The 20,825-nt window shown below is 44.7% G+C and overlaps 1 protein-coding gene across 9 annotated transcripts in view, besides 1 other annotated feature; it reads left to right on the forward strand.

Annotated features, from left to right (window-relative positions):
* RPH3A (rabphilin 3A) overlaps nt 1-20,825 on the forward strand; it is a 323,646-nt gene that overhangs the window by 197,860 nt on the left and 104,961 nt on the right. For 5 of the 9 annotated variants that reach the window (NR_145127.2, NR_145126.2, NM_001143854.2 and 2 more), the window contains exons 1-2: nt 18,653-18,917; nt 19,048-19,168. The gene's annotated coding sequence lies outside the window, so the exon portion shown is untranslated. Of the gene's footprint in view, nt 1-18,442; nt 18,516-18,652; nt 18,918-19,047; nt 19,169-20,825 lie in introns of those variants that run through there. The other 4 variants (NM_001347953.1, XM_047428540.1, NM_001347954.2 and 1 more) reach the window with 3 other exon arrangements.
* Nucleotides 18,745-19,286: an enhancer, noted in NCBI's record as "H3K4me1 hESC enhancer chr12:113229645-113230186 (GRCh37/hg19 assembly coordinates)". NCBI's record gives its function as "activates a minimal SCP1, AML or CMV promoter by ChIP-STARR-seq in primed H9 embryonic stem cells {active_cell/tissue: H9 hESC(primed)}" and the evidence as "EXISTENCE:reporter gene assay evidence [ECO:0000049][PMID:30033119]".

Below are 20,825 nucleotides of genomic sequence, written 5' to 3' on the forward strand. Positions count from 1 at the left end.
CATATATATATTATATATATATGGTCTATATATGTAGTGTGTGTATATAAATATATATATACCACAGTTTCTTTAGCCACTTGTTGATTGATGGGCATTTGGGTTGGTTCCATGATTTTGCTATTGTGAATTGGGCTTACACAGAAATTTAAATGGGAGGAGAAAATGGATAACCCCATCCCTTTTGTTGAAGGATGGGGTTTTGCCAAAGAGAAAGAGAAGTAAAACTTAATGACAGTGGATTTGGTTCCTTGGTGCAGAAAAGATCCCCCCTCCTTTTCCATTACAGGGCCTGACCCCAGCTTTGAAATGTGAAGTTTTGATTGCTAATACAAATTGAATTTATTTGTTTTTTTTTCTCACTTTCAGCAATGTCATCTTTTTTTAAAAAAATAAGTATAGGCTGATGAAACATATTTAAATAGAGAGATTAAATTAGTTTTCATTTGCTACTTTGAAATGTTTTAATCCCCTGAAGAGAATGATTAAAGCTCTTTGCAGAGGGTAGGGGTGTATTTTTTTTAAGTTGATGTTTATATGCAACATTCCATTTTTGCACTTCCTGGTGTTGGCGGATAGAATGATTTCATTGCCTACCTCACCAATGGGCCACAATGAGAGGTGGGGGTGGGAGCAGGACTGAAGCTGCTGCTGGGAAGGAAAAATCAAGTAACAAGAATGCTTTGTAAAGAAAGGCAGTAGGGGCCAGGCATGGTGGCTCACACCTGTAATCCCAGCACTTTGGGAGGCCGAGGCAGGCGGATCACCTGAGCTCAGGAGTTCGAGACCAGCCTGGCCAACATGGTGGCACCCCTGTCTCTACTAAAAGTATAAAAATTAACTGGGCATAGAGGCTCATGCCTGTAATCCCAGCTACTACTTGGGAGGCTGAGGCAGGACAATCGCTTGAGCCCGGGAGGCGGAGGTTGCAGTGAGCCGAGATCACGCCACTGCACTCCAGCCTGGGCAAAAAAAAAAAAAAGAAAAAGAGAAAGGTAGAAGTAAAGGATGCCAAGAAACAAGAAGATGGACATAGCATATCCTGACAAAGGAACAAGCCATGCTGTGCAATAATAATAAATATACACACACAGATATATAGAGAGGTATATCTATGTATGTATATGTACAGAGATAGATATTTTGGATTAAAATTTTACAAATAAAAGCAAAGAGGTTGGAACGAATGGGGAATTCTCTCAGGCATCAAAGTTAAGTTTCCAGATTGTCACTGACACATAATGTATTATGCTGATTAAATGTAACTAAAATATTTATGGAAAGAGAACATTAAACCTTATCCAGCTGCCAGTGTCCTGGATATAGATGAGAGCACTAGATTGAGAGTCTGGAGAACTGGGTTCACCCGCTGGAGCTTCCTTTCCCTGGTTTGTGACTCTCTCAAGACACCAAGTTTCTTAGCCTCACATCCTCATTATAATAGGTCCACTTCTTACTTTGAAAGGTTTGGGTTGGTGAGAATGAAAATCCTTTGTTGGCAGCCTTAAAAAGGAACGAGATCATGTCCTTTGCACATGGATGAAGCTGGAAGCCATTATCCTCAGCAAACTAATGCAGGAACAGAAAACCAAACACCACATGTTCTCACTTAACAAGTGGGAGCTGAACAACGAGAACACATGGACACAGGGAGGGGAACAACACACACTGGAGCAGGTCGGGGGGTGAGGTAGGGGGCGGAGAGCAGTAGGAAAAATAGCAGTAGGAAAAATAGTAGGAAAAATAGGAAAAATTGCATGCTGGGCTTAATATCTAGGTGATGGGATGATCTGTGCAGCAAACCAGCATGGCACATGTTTACCTATGTAACAAACCTGCCCAGCCTACACATGTACCCCAGAACTTAAAATAAAAATGAAAAAAAGAAAATCCTTCAAAGAATATAAAATTGTCTATAAGAACATGGCATATGGGAACAACACACACTGGGGCCTGTTGAGGGGTGGGGTTAAGGGGAGGCAGAGTATTAGGAAGGATGGTTAATGCATGCTGGGCTTAATACCTAGGTGATGGGTTGATAGGTGCAGTAAACCATTATGGCCCATGTTTACCTATGTAACAAAGCTGTACATCCTGCACATGTACCCCAGAACTAAAAACAAAAACAAAAAATCAAAAAAAAGTTTGGAAAAAACCACAGGCTATTGAATAAAACAAATATGAATACCAAAAAAAGGGAACATAACATATGTTTAAGTGTAATAATAAGCAAATGCTAAGGATCCATTCATCCACCAAGAATTTGCTGTGCATGTACCATGTGCCAGGCACTGTGTTAGGTCCTGGGAATCCAGGGATGACTACTTTGAGGGATATAGAAAGACAGTGCTAGATGTGTATGTCAGTAGAGAGAGATTAGAATTCAACTACTCTAAGACCTTTATATTGTCTTGGATGAGGGTACAGAAATTGATTCATTTTAGATTAAGTCACATAAGCATATTAAAAATAGAAGGTAAGTTCTGAAAGAATAGGAAAAGAATATAACTTCTAAACTAGCAGTGGGAGAAATAGAAGACAGGAAAGGCAGGGGAGGGAACCATGGACAAGGCAGAGTAAACAGAAAATACAAAATCAGATGACAGAATGAACTTCAAATATAGCAGTAATCATAGATGCAAATGGTCTAAACTCACCAGCTAAAAGATAAAGATAAAAAATGGGGCAGTGGTGGTAGGGGGAAATCCAGCTATAGCTAACACATAAAATACAGAGAAAGGTTGCAAAGAAACATGGTCCTTTTCCAGGGGTAGATTATAATTGTGTCAAACACATCTTTTATCTCTACTTACATTTCCCCCTTTCTCTGGGGACTTTATACTAAAGCAGGGATTATGTTAAATTGACTGAGTAGAAGTCAGGGGTGAGGGAGAAATGAAAGGAAAGAGGATTTATTGAGTCAGGTACTGTGCTGGGTGGTTTTTAAAAGGGAAGAAACTGGCATAGGTTAGAAATGTACATTCTGGTATAGCTTATTGGTCAAATGCCCAGACCGTGGTGTCAGACAGACCTGGACTTGGTTTCCAAATCATTTAATCATTCATTTACTCATTTAACTAATATTTATTGAATATCTACTATGAGTGAAGAAGTCTGCTAAGAAGTCACTTTAATTTCTCTATGACTTAGTTTCCTCATTGTATCAGTTATCTATTGCTACAATAGTGCTGTGTAAGAAACCACTACAAAAAACCCCCCCATAGCTTATAACAATAAACACGCTCTTATTGCTCACTAGTCTATAGGTTGGCTGGGCAGTCATGCTGATCTGGGAGGAACTTGGCTATCTTGCTCAGCTTGATGATAGGTTGGTGAGTCTCTGGGAACTGGCTGGTCTAAGATGGCCCTGGTTAGGAAGCCTTGGTTCTATCTTATGTGGCTTCTCATCTTCCAGCAGGCTAGCTTGGATTTATTGTTATGGTAGAGGCAGGGATGAGAGAGAGAGAGAAAGAGAAAGAAAGAGAAAGTGCAAAGCCGGCTGGGCACAATGGCTCACGCCTGTAATCCCAGCACTTTGGGAGGCTGAGGTGGGAGGATCACAAGGTTAGGAGGTCAAGACCATCCTGGCTAACATGGTGAAACCCCGTCTCTACTGAAAATACAAAAAATTAGCTGGGCGTGGTGGTGGGCGCCTGTAGTCTCAGCTACTCGGGAGGCTGAGGCAGGAGAATGGTGTGAACCTGGGAGATGGAGCTTGCAGTGAGCCGAGATCATGCCACTGTACTCCAGCCTGGGCGACAGAGTGAGACTCCATCTCAAAAAAAAAAAAAAAAAAAAAAAAAAAAAAAAAAAAAAGAAAGTGCAAGGCCTCTTAAAGTCTAGGCTCATAGCACTCTATTGGCCAAAGGAAGCACAGGTCAAATTCAGTTCAAAGGGTGGAGAAGTTAACTCCATCTCTTGATGGGCAGAGCTACAAAATTACATTGCAATGTGAAGTCACGTTGCAAGGGGCATGGGTACAGGGAAAGGAAGAATTAAGGCCATTTTTGCAACCAATCTACCACACTCATCTATTTATGCAGAGATAATATTAGCACCTACTTCTTAGAGTTATTGTGAGAATTCAGTTGGATCATGCATATAAAGCAGTGATTTCGAGTCAGGTTTACAGGAGGCACTCAGCAAATATTAGCCCTTGCTGCTGCTGCTGTTGTGATCATCAGTGTTAATATTATTATTAATTTGGGTCCTCCTCATCCCTGTGCATCTGCTCAATGCAGTTCAGAGGTTCAAATCCCCTAGTAGCTTCTGCTTCTGCATGCCTTATTGTTTTTCCTCTTAATAAAAGAGCAAGTCTGTTGATAGAAAACTTCCTTGATTTTGTGAATGCAGACGCCACTGTGTGTTAGCCTCCTTTGGCCATTAGCTGTCAAGGCAGCAAGGCAGCGATCTATTTAAAGAACACGTAGGTGCCTCTGCTTTTTGCCATCAAAACTGTGCCAGAGATGGAGATACCTCTGAAGTAGGGGCTGAAGGGTCCTGACATGAGACAGGACCTCTGTTTGCCATCTGCATTTACTCAAGAAAGGGTAGTTAATTGCCTAGTGAAGTTGGTTTCCTTATGTTAATTAATGATGCTAGCAGCTGAACATGAATAGGATATTGTTTATTTTTACTTCCAAAGGAGAGAGATTGAGGCTTGAGTCAGAAATGCAGCACAGGCTGCAATTTTGCTAAATTCTATAGTCTTGCTCACAATACCGCAGCAGGATGGCTGCTTTTTTGGCTGAGCTAGGATAAAAGGTAGTGCTGGGCCTTGGCTTTGTTGGAGCTTCTGTTTATTGACAAGGAAAGAATCTCCAAAATGCTTTTTGTCATGTAGGATAAACCTCAACAGTGGTGAATGCATAGGCCTGACATCAGCTTCTCTTCCATATGGGAGGCACCAGCATTTACAGAAAGAATTCACATTTGGGGAGAAGAGCGTAACAAATTTATTGACAGAAATTCCCACCAATCTTAATTTTTTTAAAAGAAGGGAAACACCTTCTTCTGAGTTCCATCCCCAAACACAAGAAGAGCCAGAGATGAAATGTGTTAGTGATTCATCAAAAAACAGATTTTAGTTTCCCTTATTTTTAGAAGTAGCTATCTAGGTATTGGGTTCTGTCAAATGAGAGAGAGATTATATTTGGAAATCCTAATTATGGAGAGGCTTTCTTTAAAAAGCAGCCTAAAGCCAAACTGGCTCCCACTGATGCTTCTTTAGTTGTTTCTTTTTTCTCTTTAATCCTTCTGACACCCTGAAAGTAGTTCACACATAGAATTAAAAGAATCCATTTTGCCCATCCTCGATGTTTACTTGACTTTGTAGTTCCAGAAGCCATAATCTCATTCTCTGGCCATCACTTTGAAGAATAATGTCAGGAAATGTATGAATTTAATTTTTTTTAGTTGGAACACAATTTGAATAGGCTAAAGCAAAGCAAAACAACAACAACAAAAGGCAGGGGAACGTTTTGTTTTACATTATGGAAAAGTGTGGGGGCTTCAGGCATGGCTGGATTCAGGTGCTCATATAATGGCGTCAGGAATCAGTTTCTTACATTGCTCTCTCTCTTTTGCATAGGCGTCAACTTCAGGCTGGAGGATACAAAGAAGCCTCTTGGCAGCCCCAGGCTTACATTGTAGCAACTTAGCAACCCTGATGAAAATGATATGCCTCTTTCCTAAGAATGCCTGCAAAAGTTTCAGATAGGAATCTCATTGGCTTGCATTGAGCCACATGCACTTCTTTGCACTAATCATTGTGGCCAGGGGATGAGATAGATGAATTAATTAGGCATGGACATGTGCTAACTCCTGGAGTATAGGGAGGCATCAGCTCCACCCAAACCTCCACCTGAAAGGACTGACTGTGGGGAAGAGGTGGTTTACCAGAAGGACAATCAGGAACAGGGAATGCATGCTTACCTGGCAAAGGTAGCAGAAAGTCTTTGGGAGAATGTGCTAGTCTGGGTCCTCCAGGAAACAGACACCAAGACAGGAATAGATGTGCTAGGATTTGATTAGGAGAAAGGCTGATGGGAGAAAATAGGGAGGTGGCCAGAGAAGGCATAAGGAGCCACTGGACCCCCAAGTGAAGGGGAGAGGGAAAGAAGGCTGGGAGCGAGTGTCCTAGACTCTCATGCAGCCTAAAGGCGCTTCAGCAAGGTGTCGAGGAGTCCTCCAGCCAAAGTCTCTGTCGGAGGAGTCCCATGTCTCCCAGGGACAGGCCAGTTTTAGTATCCCTGCAGCATTCCATTATTGGCTGGGAGCTGCCCATGGGAAGCATGGCCTCATTTGCACTGATGGATTTGAGAGTGCAGCAGCTGGGGCCTTCAGTCAATTAAGCTTCCTGTAGCTGCGGGTCTGCAAAGTACTTTCTCATGGCCACTATATAATAACTCATATTCATACAGTATCATATAGATTAAAAAGTGTTTTTGTAGCTGTCAGCTTAGTTTAATAATATGATCATCACCCCCTTCCATTGTACAGATGGAGAAGGTGAGGTAGGGCTGATTATGATTTATCCAAGGCGGCTTTGCTAGTTAGTGAAGAAGTAGACTCACACTCTGACCACCATCTCCATACCCATCACACCTCCACTGTATGGAGGGTTGAATAATGTCCCCCTAAAATCCATGTCTACCCAGAACCTCAGAATGTGACCTTATTTAGAAATAGAGTCCTTGCAGATATAAACACTCAGGTTAAGGTGAGGTCATCCTGGATTAGGATGAGCCCTAAATCCAATATGATTGGTGTCATCATACGAAGAGAGAAATGGACACAGACATAAAAGAGACAGAGGGAAGAAGGCCATGGGGTGATGGAGGCAGTGATTGGAGTGAAGCAGCCACAAGCCAAGAAACTGCAAGGACTGTCGGCCACTGCCAGAAGCTGGGAGATTGGCCTGGAACAGATTCGTCCCCAGAGTCTTCAGAGCGAACACGGCCCTGCTGAGGTCTTCAGTGAAAATGGCAAAATTTTCCTTCAGTATCTCTTTCTATATTCCTTGTCTGTTCTTCCTTTTCTCCCCTTTATGTAACCAGCACTCTCATAATGCCTCTCTTTTGGGGGCTCATGTTGGCCTCATCTTTAAAAAATTTTATTGATTGAGGGGGTACATGGGCAGGTTTGTTACATGGATGTATTGCATTATGGTTAGGTTTGGGCTTCTAGTGTAGCCATCACCCAAATAGTAAAAACTGTACCCCATGGGTAATTTTTCAATCCTCGCCCCTCCCACCCTCCCTGCTTTTGGAGGCCCCAGTGCCTGTTCTTTCCCTCTGGAGGCCTCATTTTTGTGAAAACATCTCATGTCCCCTAGGTTTTCTCTTCTTCCTTCAAAACTTACCTGTCCTGTATCCATTCTCTCAAATCTCTTTCACCTGTTAGGGATAAGCCGATAAACGTAATCTTGCAAACTAGAAAGGAGTATTTCTTCCAGATAACATTGGCATTTTCATGACGATTTTTATTACCTTCAGATTCAACAGGCATTTGTTGAACACATGCTATTTGCTGAGCTCCATATGGGCCGTTTCATGTGTTTTAATCCTGTTTTATCCTTACAAACATCTAGACAGGTAGACACTCTTCTTCCATTTTACCAATGAAGATGGAGTGTCTCAGAACCTCTGCTTCCTTTCCCTGCAGCTCCCTATGCGGGTATCAGAATGGCCAACAAGGAGACGCGATTTTGTGTTTTGATACCCTGAAAGACTGACTTAAGAATGACATGAAACTTCCTATGAAATTATCCTCTGGTAGCCGGGCATGGTGGCTCAAGCTGAAATCCCAGCACTTTGGGAGGCTGAGGCGGGTGGATCACCTGAGGTCAAGAGTTTGAGACCAGCCTGGCCAACATGGTGAAACCCTGTCTCTACTATTAAAATAAATCAATAAATAAGCCAGGCCTGGTGGCACATGCCTGTAGTCCCAGCTACTGGGGAGGCTGAGGCAGGAGAATCGTTTGAACCCAGGAGAAGGAGGTTGTAGTGAGCCCAGATCATGCCATTGCACTCCAGCCTGGGCTACAGAGTGAGACTCCATCTCAAAAAAACAAAACAAAACAAACAAAAAAACCAAAACAACAACAACAACAACAACAAAACAAAAAAAAATATCCTCTGGAACTTACCTGGTTCCCTTGGAAAACCAACAGGCATTTCCAAGTGCAGCCAGACTTGTGTCCCTTGGGATTTTCTCTCTGTTCATTTACTTTGCTGGAAAGGGCTCGCAAGAGGTTCTTGGGTTTGTCGTCTGATTGAACACGACTGTTCCACGTGGCTGCGACTTTAGAACCATCAGCTCTGGGGCAGAAGACTTGCAGCTGATCTCCTCCCTGCAACCATCACTTCCCATTTTTTTGCCCAAGCCTCCTCTTCTGTGTGGTTCGGGACCATGAGAGAGCCCCTGGGTGAATGGGGGGCCTGAATTTCTCTCTATTCAGTTTCTTTGTAGTTTCCTGGGTGTGGTGGTATTGGTGGAGGATCAGTGAGCTATTGGCGTTGGCCCAGAGTAAGAACCTCTCACCCAGGAAATAAATGGCTCATAAAATGGTGCCCTTTTCATCCATTCATTCATTCATTCACTCAATCATTCGTTCATTCATCAACTATTTATTTGGTATTTATTCTGTGCCAGGCTATCATGTTAGATACACAAGAAAGACATGGCTTCTGTCCTCAAGGAATCGCTATAGCCAGCAATTCTGGCATTGATCTTCTAGGATGATGATCTAGTCCAGGTCTTCCTGTTCAAAGAGAGAAGCATCTAGAAAACATGGAGTTTCTTGCAGAATCCCTTAGTTACTGACATATTCCATTGCTGATAACTAAACATGCAATTCAGGGTGGTCAGTTGTCTCTCCCACTTTCCCACGCTGGGGATCATGATGGAAGGATACAGGCTATTATGGAAGCTGAATTATGTGCAATGGGGGCAGAGAAGAGGAGGATCCAACCATATTGGGAGCAGTTCGGGATGGGTCCTGGGGAGAGTGGACAGATACTCTGTTCCTGTCCCATGCAGGCCCTTCAGCATTTATTCAATACAACGCAATGCTTAAGAGCATGGGCTCTGACATCAGACAAATGTGAGCTAAGCCCCTGCTTGATTACCTGCTAATGCATGAGGCTCAGTCTTCTCATCTGAGAAATGGGGATTAATTTTAGGATCTATTTTCCAGGGTAACTCTGAGTATTAAACAATATCCTGAATGTAAAGAACTTAGCTGAAGTCTTGGGAATTTGTTGTTATCATCCTTCACAAACTCTGGGGAGACTACCAGGAATCAGAAAAGAGGAGCTTCAATCTGGACTGGTGTAATCAGGGAGGTCTCCTTGGAGGAAGTGACCTTTTGGTCTCTAAGCTTGGCAAGAACAGGGATGGTATCCCTTTTCCGTCTTTCTGTATTCTTAGCACCTGGCATAAATCAGTCCTCAGCATATGCTTGTTGAGTGAATAGATGAGTGACTGACCAGGATCTTGAAGAAAGAATAGGAAATGCACGTGGAAGGGACTTTTCAGTATTTCTCTCTTCCCAGGGACTGTATTTATGAATGGAGTCATCTTTTCTATTTCTCCTTATTTTCCTTTTAATAAAGAGATTACAGCTTTTCATGGATATACCAAGACTATTCTGGTGTGGAGCTGCTTCACTTCCCCTGGTATGGGATGTGCCACTATTTATTTAAATGACCCCCTGTTGTCAGACACTTAGCTTGTTTCCAATTTGTCATTGTTGTAAGTGATTCTGTGATGATCATCTCTGCACGTACATCTAATTATTTCCTTAGGTTAAATTCCTGGACAGAGTCTCATGGGTCACACAGTAGGTATGTGTAATGTCTTAAGATTTTGGACACACAGTGTTAGATCACCTTCTAGAGAGGCTGTGCCAGTTTCCCTTGCCACCTGCCTGTCAGCTCATCTGCTTGCTAATCTGCTGCCTGAGAGATGGGCTCTCACCATTTCTGTAGCACTTGTCACTGCCTTCCCTGCTTGGCCAAGTGGGAATCGTGGGGTGAGCTCGTCTCTCCATTCTTCAAGCCTGCTGGATATCTGTCGTGTCACGTTAGGATTACGTAAGTGTGAGGCTGAGAAATCTCCTTGGAGGAGAGAAACTCCCCAGATGTTGGAGTCAGTGCTGGAGTAGGGAAGAAGAGGTGCCCAGGGCATTGAGAGACTGGTTACATGGCATTGCCCCACCCCCTACCCCACTTCCCTGGTCTCCCGTGGAGGTAACTGATCCAATCTCTTCCTTCCCACCTCACATGCATAATAGAAATAAACATTCTCTATGCTCTGCCTCCCACATCCCTTTTATAACTCTTGCCACACTTGTCACACTCCTGTCACGTTTTTCTATATCTCCACTGGCCGGTAGCTTGGAAGGGTGGAGTCTTAGTCATTTTGGTATCTCCAGCATCTGACATAGGATAACAATAAAAAATGAACAAAGTGAAGGTAATAATATAGTAGTAGCTAATGTGTTGGGCACCTACTATGTGCCAAGCCCTTTATATATTTTATCTCATTGAATAATTCCAAGAAACACATGTTGTACATATTATTATTAGTATCCTCATTTTACAGACAATGAGGCTAAGGCACAGCGAGGTAAAGTGACTCACCCAAGCTCACACAACCAGTGAGTGGAAAACGTGGGACTCAAAGCCAGCTCCCTCTCAATTATTCTGCTAGGTGCTTGGTGAGTGTCTTAGCCACTAAATGGGAAGCCAGCATTTCCTCTGCTCCCTCCTTTATACTAGCTTATTTCTAGGAGGTTTTGACAGTTATATGTCCACAGCAGAGATGAGGAATCTGATTTATTCATTTCCAGGGAAAAGCAAACTAGGGGCTTGAGAGGATCTTCTTGGAGGAGTGCTTTGAAAGACCTATCTGGAAATAGATCTCTCTCTCTTGACTTCCCCATCTCCAATCACACTGCCTGGGGTCACTCCTTTATGAATTCATTCATTTTCCATCAGAGCTTAAAGCTCCTTTTGAAAATGTAGATTCAATAAAGCTGGGGTGGCGGTGGGTAGAAAATGTAGAATCTTCCAGCAAATATCAGCCCCCTTCATCCTTAATACCTTACTGGTCATAAAGACATCTGAACTTTCTCCTCAAGCTGCTGTTCCTTACTCTTCTTTTCACTTGTTCAAATTCAGTCCAGCTCAGGTCCAACCTCACCCCCAGGCAGGTTTTCCAGCCTCTCCCCTCTTATTCAGCCCTCTCCCTGCAGCAGCCACTCCAGTATTGCTCTTCTGAGGTGATGATCTATCCCAGGTTCCCCTAAAATTGTTCAAAGACAGCAGCATCTTGAAGATACAGGGTTCCTTGCAGAACCCCGTGAACTATGGTCGTATCTCATTTATGGTAACTAAACATGCAATTTGGGATGGTGAGATGCCAGTAAGTTTTATGAGATTCCAGGAAGACAAAAGATACAAGCATCAAAAGTTCTAAGAATAATTTATTTATTCGACATTGACCAGGCATCAGATTTGTTCTGGGCCGTGAGAACTCAGAAATACACAAGACTGAGCTGTGTTCTTGGAATGTCCAGTCTGATGGGGGAGCCAGTTATAATGTAGGGTGGACACAGGGAGAAGGTGAGGTTCTGTTGTAGGAGTTCAGATGAGGAAAATGCAGTCAGCCTTCAATAAGTGTCAGCTGTTTATTTGTTACAGGCTAGAAACAGATTCAGATTCTGGAGAGGACTTGGGAGACGAAAGGTTCTACATGCTTACTTTATTCTTTTGGCCTAAGATTGTGTTTTGGTACTCACTGGCTTAACTGGGAAGCTGGCCTTAAGAGATACAGCTGTGGCTGGGTGTGGTGGCTCACGCCTATAATCCCAGCACTTTGGGAGGCAGAGGCGGGTGGATCACCTGAGGTCGGGAGTTCGAGACCAACCTGACCAACATGGAGAAACCCCGTCTCTACTAAAAATACAAAATTAGTCAGGCATGGTGGTGCATGCCTCTAATCCCAGCTACTTGGGAGGCTGAGGCAGGAGAATCACTTGAACCCAGGAGGCGGAGTTTGCAGTGAGCCGAGATTGCGCCATTGAACTCCAGCCTGGACAACAAAAGCGAAACTCCCATCTCAAAAAAGAAAAAAAAAAAAAAGATACAGCTGCATGGTGGTTGGCAGAGCATAGTTAGGCAAACCTAGCATACCCAGAGGAATGATTTCAGGACTGACTGATTTTCAGATTTCAGGGCAGATAATGCTATGGAGGTGATGGAAATGACATTAAGTCACTGCTGTAAGTGGGAATATAATAATTTTCTAATGTGCTTTAAAGTAAAAATGTAACATCTAAACACTGAAAAAATAAACATCCTTAGAATACCTAACTTCATCTTTTGGATCTCAGCACAATGTGTATCACTCATTGGAAGATACCTCTCTTCCATGATAAATAATAATCACAATGGCCATGATAATGAATAAAGATGACAGACATGGGGCTGCCTATGTGCCGGGCTCTGCTCTAAGTGCTTTAACGTATGTTAGCTAATGTGATCCTAACAACAACCATATAAGGAAGTGCTATCATTTGCTTTGCAGACAGAGAACCTGAGGCAAAGGGAGGTTTAGTAACTTCCTCAAGGTCACACAGTTTGCATGTGGTAGAGTCAGATTTGAACACTGGCAGCCTAGCTCTAGAACCTGGCCTCTTAACAATTTCATTATGCCGTCTCTGCTGTTGCTGTCCTTTTCCTCTTACTTATGGTCACTTTGGGCTGGACGTTTTCACTGCATTCCTTGAGGATAGGAGTCTGGATAAGCACACAGTAGAAACTTAGTAAATGGTAGCTGTTATTCATCATTTAGAGTATACGAAACTCATTGCTATTCATTAGCTCAGTGAAACATCCTGGCTGCTTCAGGAGATGAGCGGGGAAGGTATGGTGGTCCCATTTTATAGCTGAGGAGACTGAGGTTCGGAGCATGCCAGTGACATGCCAAGGTCCCAAACTGGGAAGTAGGGAGCTGAAATCAAACTCCAAGTATCAGAGAAGGCAAGTCCAAGTTCCCTTCCCCTGGCAGAGCCTTGCCTGGTAACGTGGAATTGACTGATTAATAAATAAAACTTGTTGACTTGTCTTGAAAGCTTGCTTCGCCAAGTCCTACTGTGTCTTTTCCTAAGGAGGTTAGTGGGCTTCCCCACGACTGCCCTTTTCCTTGTGGGAAGGGATTTGTCAGTGCACATAGGCCGATCTCAGGGACCCAGCAATCCTTTCTCTCTCTGTCTCGTGTTCTTTCTCTTTCTCTTGCACGCCAATCTCTCTGTTTCGTTTACTTGTTCTATCTTTGACCGATTCCCTGTGATGAGTTGTGCTCCTGGAAAGCTGCCCTGTGACATTTCTTCCCTTTTGTGTCCCTGACAGTAGCATTTCCCTGGAGGCTCTTAAAGGAGAAGGAGGAGGGAGTGAGGAAGGCATGGACGCCCTAGCAGTGTCATCCAGCGACAAAGCCCAGTGTTCAGGCTAAAGCTTTGAGCATGTTTCCTTTCTCTTGTAGGGCACACACATGGTATTGTTCAGAACAGGTTGTAGTATGATTGAAGCACTGGGTTCTTTGTCTAAGAGGGAGCTCAGTCATGATTCCTAAAGCCGATTTGCTATGGGCTTCTTAATGTAGGGTCCCCTGGCAGACTTGCTATATTGGTTTCCTATGCTGCTGTAACAAATAACCACAAACTCTGTGGCTGAAGACAACATAGATTAATTATCTTACAGTCCTGGAGGTCAGAATTCCTTTAACCAAGGTGTCAGCAGTGGGGTTGTGTTCCTTCTGGAGGCTCTCAGGGAGACTCTTTTCCTCACCTTTTCCATTTTCTAGAGCCTGCCCACATTCCTTACCTGGTAGCTTCTTCCACCATCTTCAAGACCAGTAACAAAGCATCTTCATACCTCTCCCTACCTCTCTTTCTCTCTCTCCCCCTATACTTCCATCCACACCTTTCCTCTCTGACTCTGGCCCTCCAGCCTCCCTCCTATAAGGACCCTTGTGATTACATTGGATTCACCCAAATAGCCCAGGATAATCTCCCCACCTCAAGATCCTCAACTTCATCACACTTGCAAAGTCCCACTTGCCACTTAAGGTAATCTATTAACCCCTTTTGGGGATGAAAATGTGGACATCTTTTGGGGCCATTATTTTGCCTACCACACTTGCTAAGTGAAATGGGCTATCTCAGTGCCCATTTCCTTGGGAGACAGAAAAGCACAGAGGACCTTGAGATAAACTGTTCAGATTCACACCCCATTCTCCCCCTCTTCCTGGCTGTGTTATCTTGGGCAAGTCACTTGAGCTCTCCATGTCTGATTTCCTCATCTTGAAAATGGGTAAATAGCACAACACAACCTCCTTTCACTGTTGTCAGTCATGAATAGTGCTGGGGAGATAAAGCATGGCACCTGGTAAATAGTAAGCACCTGCCCCCTGCAAAAGGAGAGATGATTAGGAATTAGGAATGCCAGATAGCATAATGATCATAAATTCACAGGGTCTTGGTTCAAATTCCAGTCTCACCACTTATGAACTCAATGGCCTCAGGCTAGTTGCTTTAGGAGTCTCAGTTTCATAGAACAGAAATGAAACCATTATCATCCTGAAATGGGATTGTTGGGAGGATGAGATGATGCCGCTGCACATATACAAATTGTGCAGGAGGTAGTGGGTAGCATTTGTTGCTGTAGCTATTACTACCTTCATCATTTCCCATCCTCTTTGGGGTGATGGAAAGTCTTACTGGGCTGCCTCTGCTCCATAAAACAAGGGTAGAGCAAGGCAGCTTGCTGAATTGCGGCCTGAGGAATCTTCGCAATGTTCTATCATTGAATGAAGCCTCGAGAGAGTCAGACCCTGGCCGGGCTCAGCCTTGAGAAGTCTGGGTTTTGAGGTGTCTCCCTGCTGCAGTGCCACAGGCTGGTGGAGTTTACAGCAGCAGCTGGTTCTTTGAACAAAGGGTTCTCCAGAAGCACCCGGGACAGAAGAGGGGTTTGGCAGTGGTGACCAGGGAGGTGGGCAGGATGGGGCAAGGTCCCCTGACAAGACAAGGCTAGTTCCTAGATGGCATGGTGACCAGAGAGGGTGGAGAGCTCAGGTTTCAACCATATTATTATTTTTTAATTTTGGTGCAAAATCCTTGTTTCAATGAAGGCTTGGGCAGATGCCCAGTATGCAAAACAGTTAAAAGCACCACTAACTGTTCTAGTTGAAACCAGAGTGGAGGGTCAGTTGAGGCCTCTTTTCATTTCCACAGGGGCCTCTAGGGGGCCTGGTTTAGGAAAAACTGACAGGGTCATGAAAACACAGGCTTTGGAGTCAGACAGACCTGAGATTTGCATCCCTGCCTCTGCTGCTCCCTGGTTGTGTGAGTTTGGGGGCTTCACATCATCTGTCTGCTTCTTGTCTGCAAATGGGGCAGTAATAGCACCCACTTCAGGTAGCTGTGAAGTGTGGGGATAATCACTGTAAAGTGCTTAGTACAATGCGTGACACATGGCAAGTGTCTAGGTATGCAGCAGGTGGTAGCTATTGTCATTCCCTAAGGGAGAGCTGAATTCATGAGAGGCCCTCCCAGAATACATGCCTAATGGCTGGGGAAGCTGTGAGAAATTCTTTGGGATTGGAAGCCAAGAGGCCTGGGAACTACTTGGGTTCTGATTCCACCACCAGCATCCTAAATGACTTTCATTTCTCCCTGGGCTTCTTGAATCACTCTTCAAATGTTTATTGAGGCAGCCAGGTGTGGTGGCTCACACCTGTAATCCCAGCACTTTGGGAGGTCGACGTGGGCAGGTCGCTTGAGGTCAGGAGTTCGAGACCAGCCTGACCAACATGGCGAAACCCCGTCTCTACTAAAAATACAAAAATTAGCCAGGCGTGGGGCGCATACCTGTAGTCCCAGCTATTTGCATGGTTGAGGCATGAGAACGTCTTGAATCCAGGAGGTGGAGGTTGCGGTTAGGCGAGATCTCACCACTGCACTCCAGCCTGTGTGACAGAGCAAGACTCTGTCTCAAATAAAACAAACGATATTGTTTATTGAGGGTTTCCTATGTGCCTGGGACTGCCCTAGGCAATAGACCACAGGTCCTGGCATCTGAAAGGCTTGCATTCTATACTCAACTCTGCTACTTCCTAGCTCTTTGATTATGGACAAGTCAATTCTCGTCTCTGGTCCCGAGTTTCTCCATCTGTAAATTGAGGACACTGAATTTATGTCACAGGATCATCCCAGAAAATATTCGATGAAAATTTTCCCCTCAAACTTGTAGAATGCATTTGAAATGAACTCTGAGAGACATCCTGGAGCATGTTCTTTGGAATCATACGACACTGAGTTTGAATGCTGTGTCTGTAACTTACTGTGAAGCCTTGAGCAAGGAATTTTATTTCTTGAGTCTAAGTTTTCTCATTTGCAAGATGGGAATAATACTAGTGTCCTGAAAGGGTCATGGTGAGGACTTCAGAAGATGATACATGTAAAGTTCCTAGCAGAAGAGCTGGCACATAGTAGGTTTTCAATAGCAGCCATCATTGCCACCACCACCACCACCACCATAATCATCACCATCAACATCATCAGCATAATCATTGTCAATCAACACCATCACTATAATCATCACTATGATTACCATCATGATGACAATTACTACCACCACCACCACCACCACCACTGAGGCAGGTGGTTCATTTGAGGCGAGGAGTTCAAGACCAGCTGGGGCAATATAGTGAGACCCATCTCTGCAAAAAAAAAAAAAAAAAAAAAATTAGCAGGGTATATTCGTGTGCACCTTGAGTCCTAGCTACTGGACAGGCTGGGGTGGGAGGATCACTTAAGCCCAGGAGTTCAAGGTTTCAGTGAGCTATGATTGCACCACTGCGCTCCAGCTTGGGTGACAGAGTGAGACACTGTCTTTTTCTTTTTTTTTTTGAGATGGAGTTTCACTCTCGTTGCCCAGGTTGGAGTGTAATGGTGCAACCTCGGCTCACTGCAGCCTCTGCCTTCCAGGTTCATGTGATTCTCCTGCCTCCACCTCCCGAGTAGCTGGGATTACAGGTGCACACCACCATGCCCAGCTATTTTTTTGTATTTTTAGTAGAGATGGGGTTTCACCATGTTGGCCAGGCTGATCTCGAACTCCTGACCTTAGGTAATCCACCTGCCTCGGCCTCCCAAAGTGCTGGGATTACAGGCATGAGCCACCGCGCCTGGCAGAGACACTGTCTTTAAAAAATTGTTTTTTAAATGAGCTCTAAATGTTCTCATTTTAACTCCTGGGTCTCATGGGGAGAAGTAAGTGACAAATGTAGTAGTTAACCCTGGGCCATCTGGATGGGAAGCTTTAGATATGAGTCTCCAATAGAGAGAGTTCTCCTTCACTTTGCAGAGAAGTTCTAAGCAGATCTTGGTCTGTTTGAGATTTCCTGGCCTTTTTCCAATTTGAGCCCTTTCCCAAAGTTAGGAGGAATAGGACTCTTGAGATATGGAGCACTGGGAGCCATGGGAATCCATTCATCTTTATATATTTCCCCTTTTGATACTTTTATTTCATTGTCCATATAGTGAATTCACTTCAGAAAGCCAGTCTGGATCTTTCGGGGAAGGCTCTTTGGCCAAGGCTCAATGGTCTGATTTAGACCTAAAATTTCCCTTCATTCTACTCAAACCACCTGCTGAAGGGTGAGGTTGGCACATGCCATCCTAGCTGGGCTGTCAATTCCTTTATCACTCTGTCCAAACATTTGTGTTTTAGGACAGGTTATGGACCATGAAATCATGGCAGTTCACAGCTTGGGTATTCTTATTGTTGCATTTTAACCTCTTGCTTCCTATCTTTAGGAAAAATAAGGTCATTATGTTATCATTTTCACAGATGGGACTTGGAAACATTAAATGACTTTTCCAGAGTTGTAAGGGGGCTGGATCTGACTTCCAGAAAACCATCAAGTGCTTATTCAACTAAGCCACCCTGCCCCTTAGAAATTTCCATTTCTTAAGCCTCAGCTTTTCTGCTCTGAATTCTGAGAAACTCCAGGTACAGGTCAAAAATCTGCAGCAATGGGGGTGAGGACAGGTCATCTGGGCGAAACTTTGAGGGGCAAAACCACTTAGGGAGCCCCCCACACCGGTGCCAAGCTCTTGTCTGAGCAGAGAGGAGCAATGCAGGACTGGGGGCGTGTGGGAGACAGGGGCTGTGAAGTTATAGTTCCTTTGCTCTGAGAGTGAGCGACAGTATTAGAAAAAGTGTGTGGTAGGTAAGCTGTCACTGACTAGACTGTGTGATGTCGAGAAGTCCCGTCCCCCACCCCTCCGGACTCCCCCCTTCTCTGCTTTAACCATCCAATTACTTAACTTCTCTGCCTAGGGGTTCGCTTCCCACCCATCCCCTCCTCCAAGGCATCTTAGCGCTGTCCGTGGTGCTGACCGCCAATCCCCTGGTTGCCGTTTCGACCAGCTGGGATCTCTGGTGCGCCCAACCTCCCCTCCCGGCCTCCCACCTTTCTTTCTCCAGGCACCGCACACATAAATCACGGGTGGGAGGCAGGCTTGGTTCCCGCTTGGTTCCCCCTGCACTGGGAAGCTGCCGCCCCGCTTCCCTTGCTCACACAGGGCTTTGCAGTAGTGGTGGCAGCCGCGGCAGAAACTGGCTCTGGGGAAGCAATTGATTCGTCTACTGCCAGCAGCCCGGAGTTGCCTACGCGGACTGGAAAGGAAGGGAGAAGGGAGAGAGAGAGAGAGAGAGAGAGAGAGAGAGAGAGAGACTCACAGAGCTAAAACCTTCATCCATGTGGAGGACAGTCTGAGGGAGCCACTGTCCCTTGTCCACTGACTCACTGGCTGGTCCGAGTTTTCTCCGCTTCTGGCAGTGGTATTTCTTTTTGTCTTGGTCCTGCATGATTTAGGGGTAGTTGATGTGTCTGTGTGTCTACGTGTGTGCACTGGTGCTTTGATTTTATTTTGGGAAGAGTAGGAGAGTCAAATGAACAATTTTCTTTCAGGCACCTCCGCTGAGCTTTTAAACCAAGTCATTGGGACTTAGCGTCTTTCTACCCGGCAGGGAAGGGAGGAGTTGGCAAGAATTTGGCTCACCCATTCCCCCTGCAAGCCTCCAGCGTCGCGGTAAGTGATATTCTCCCGGGTTGTGCAGATGGGCTAGGGGTGTTGGAATCCCAATTGTGATGTGTGTTCATGAGCTGGTGGGGTAAAGGGTAGTTGGGAGGAGAAGGGTATCGAGGAACGACTATGCTTATTTGCCTACATCCTGCAGTGTTTTATCACCTAAGCGGCATCCCAAAGCCAAATGAGATTTTGGCTTAGTGCCCAGGGAGGGGGTAAAATGTGCTCATGTTGTAGGCAATGCGATCAAGATTGTGGCTTCTGCCCAATTTGCCCTCTCCTTTGCAGCAGAAGCTGGTGAAAGTAGCCGGCAGTTCTCTGAGAGAGTTAACCCTTCGTGGGGCTGGCTAGTCTAGCATGGAGGGACTCTGGGTACTCTGACTTAGCAAGTGAGTGCTTATCCCTGGAGGGGAGGGGGTCACCTGAGACTGGAAGGGTAACTTTTGCCTGGGCACACTGGGTAAGATTTGCACAGGACAGAGCTTAGATTGTACCCTCTTCTAGGAACAGCTGAGTAATTTAATTGTGGTGATTTTTGCGAGGTTGGCTGTTCACGCTTTCCTGAGATGGAAGACCTGGGAGCCAGGAAAGGGCCACACTATGCCTGGGATGAGTGGTCAGGCTGGCCAGAAGGGAGCAGCCACTGCCTGCAGAGGAGATGATGTTTTATTTTCACAGGTGGCGTAACCTGTAAGTGATTGTATGGGGGAGCGTCCTGGCACTAGCTTGGGAGATTCTATCCTTGAGTTCATCTCAGAAGGAAGGAGGGGAACAAAGCTTGTTCAAATTCTGGGGAAAGATTCCAGGCTTCAGCTTCAGTTTTGTTCCAGGGTAGACCGTCCCCCTGCACTAGTTTCTTTTTCCAAGATCCTGATGGGGAAAGGCTGCACCAACCTGTTAGTGAGTGGGAAGTGGAAGTACCTTGAAATTGAATCCAAAAGCTCACATTTAATTTTGAAATGCTTTTGATGCTAATCTGCTACCCATCAAAAGGGGATTTCACTTTGCTTTCTGCTTTGATTACATCTACTTTTCTGGAAATGAATGCCCTTGTTTTTAGCATTTTTGCTATTATCTCAGGGGCCACCTCAGTGTTCTGCACCCCCAAGGATTTCCTTTTTAGATTCTTGCTCTTGGAGGTGGGAGGAATAAAACAACAGTCAGAGATTGGCAAGCCTGAAATATAAGCAGGGTTCACTCATTCTTTTTTTCTCTAGCCCCATAGCTAAGAAGAGATGCTGAAATCCCACAGCATGTGCCTGCTCAGGCAGGACATATGAGGCAGAAGAGGAGGGTTGTCTGGTGGTTAGTGTCAAAGATTTGGTTCTCAAAATCCCTAACTTCTCTTCCTAGCTTCTCTTGCTGGGTGACCTTGAGGAGGAAGTTGCCTTAGATTCCTCACTGGGAAGACTTGAGTGTGAATAATGAATGTGTGGAAATTTTGTTCAAAAAAAGAACCACATATCTGGCTATGGGTGATATTTAAAGTATTGAAATTTGGTACTAATCGATCAGAATGGCTAGGGTCCTGGAATAGGGCATCTTAGGGGGCCCCTGCTGTACTGAGTGTTAATCTTTTAATTGCTGGATTATGGAGAGGTTTGGGGGGATCTTAGGGGGCTATCAAGAGAGCCACGAGGCCTCAGGGCAGCATCCCCAT

This window comes from Homo sapiens, chromosome 12 (assembly GCF_000001405.40).
Source record: "Homo sapiens chromosome 12, GRCh38.p14 Primary Assembly".
NCBI lineage: Eukaryota > Metazoa > Chordata > Mammalia > Primates > Hominidae > Homo > Homo sapiens.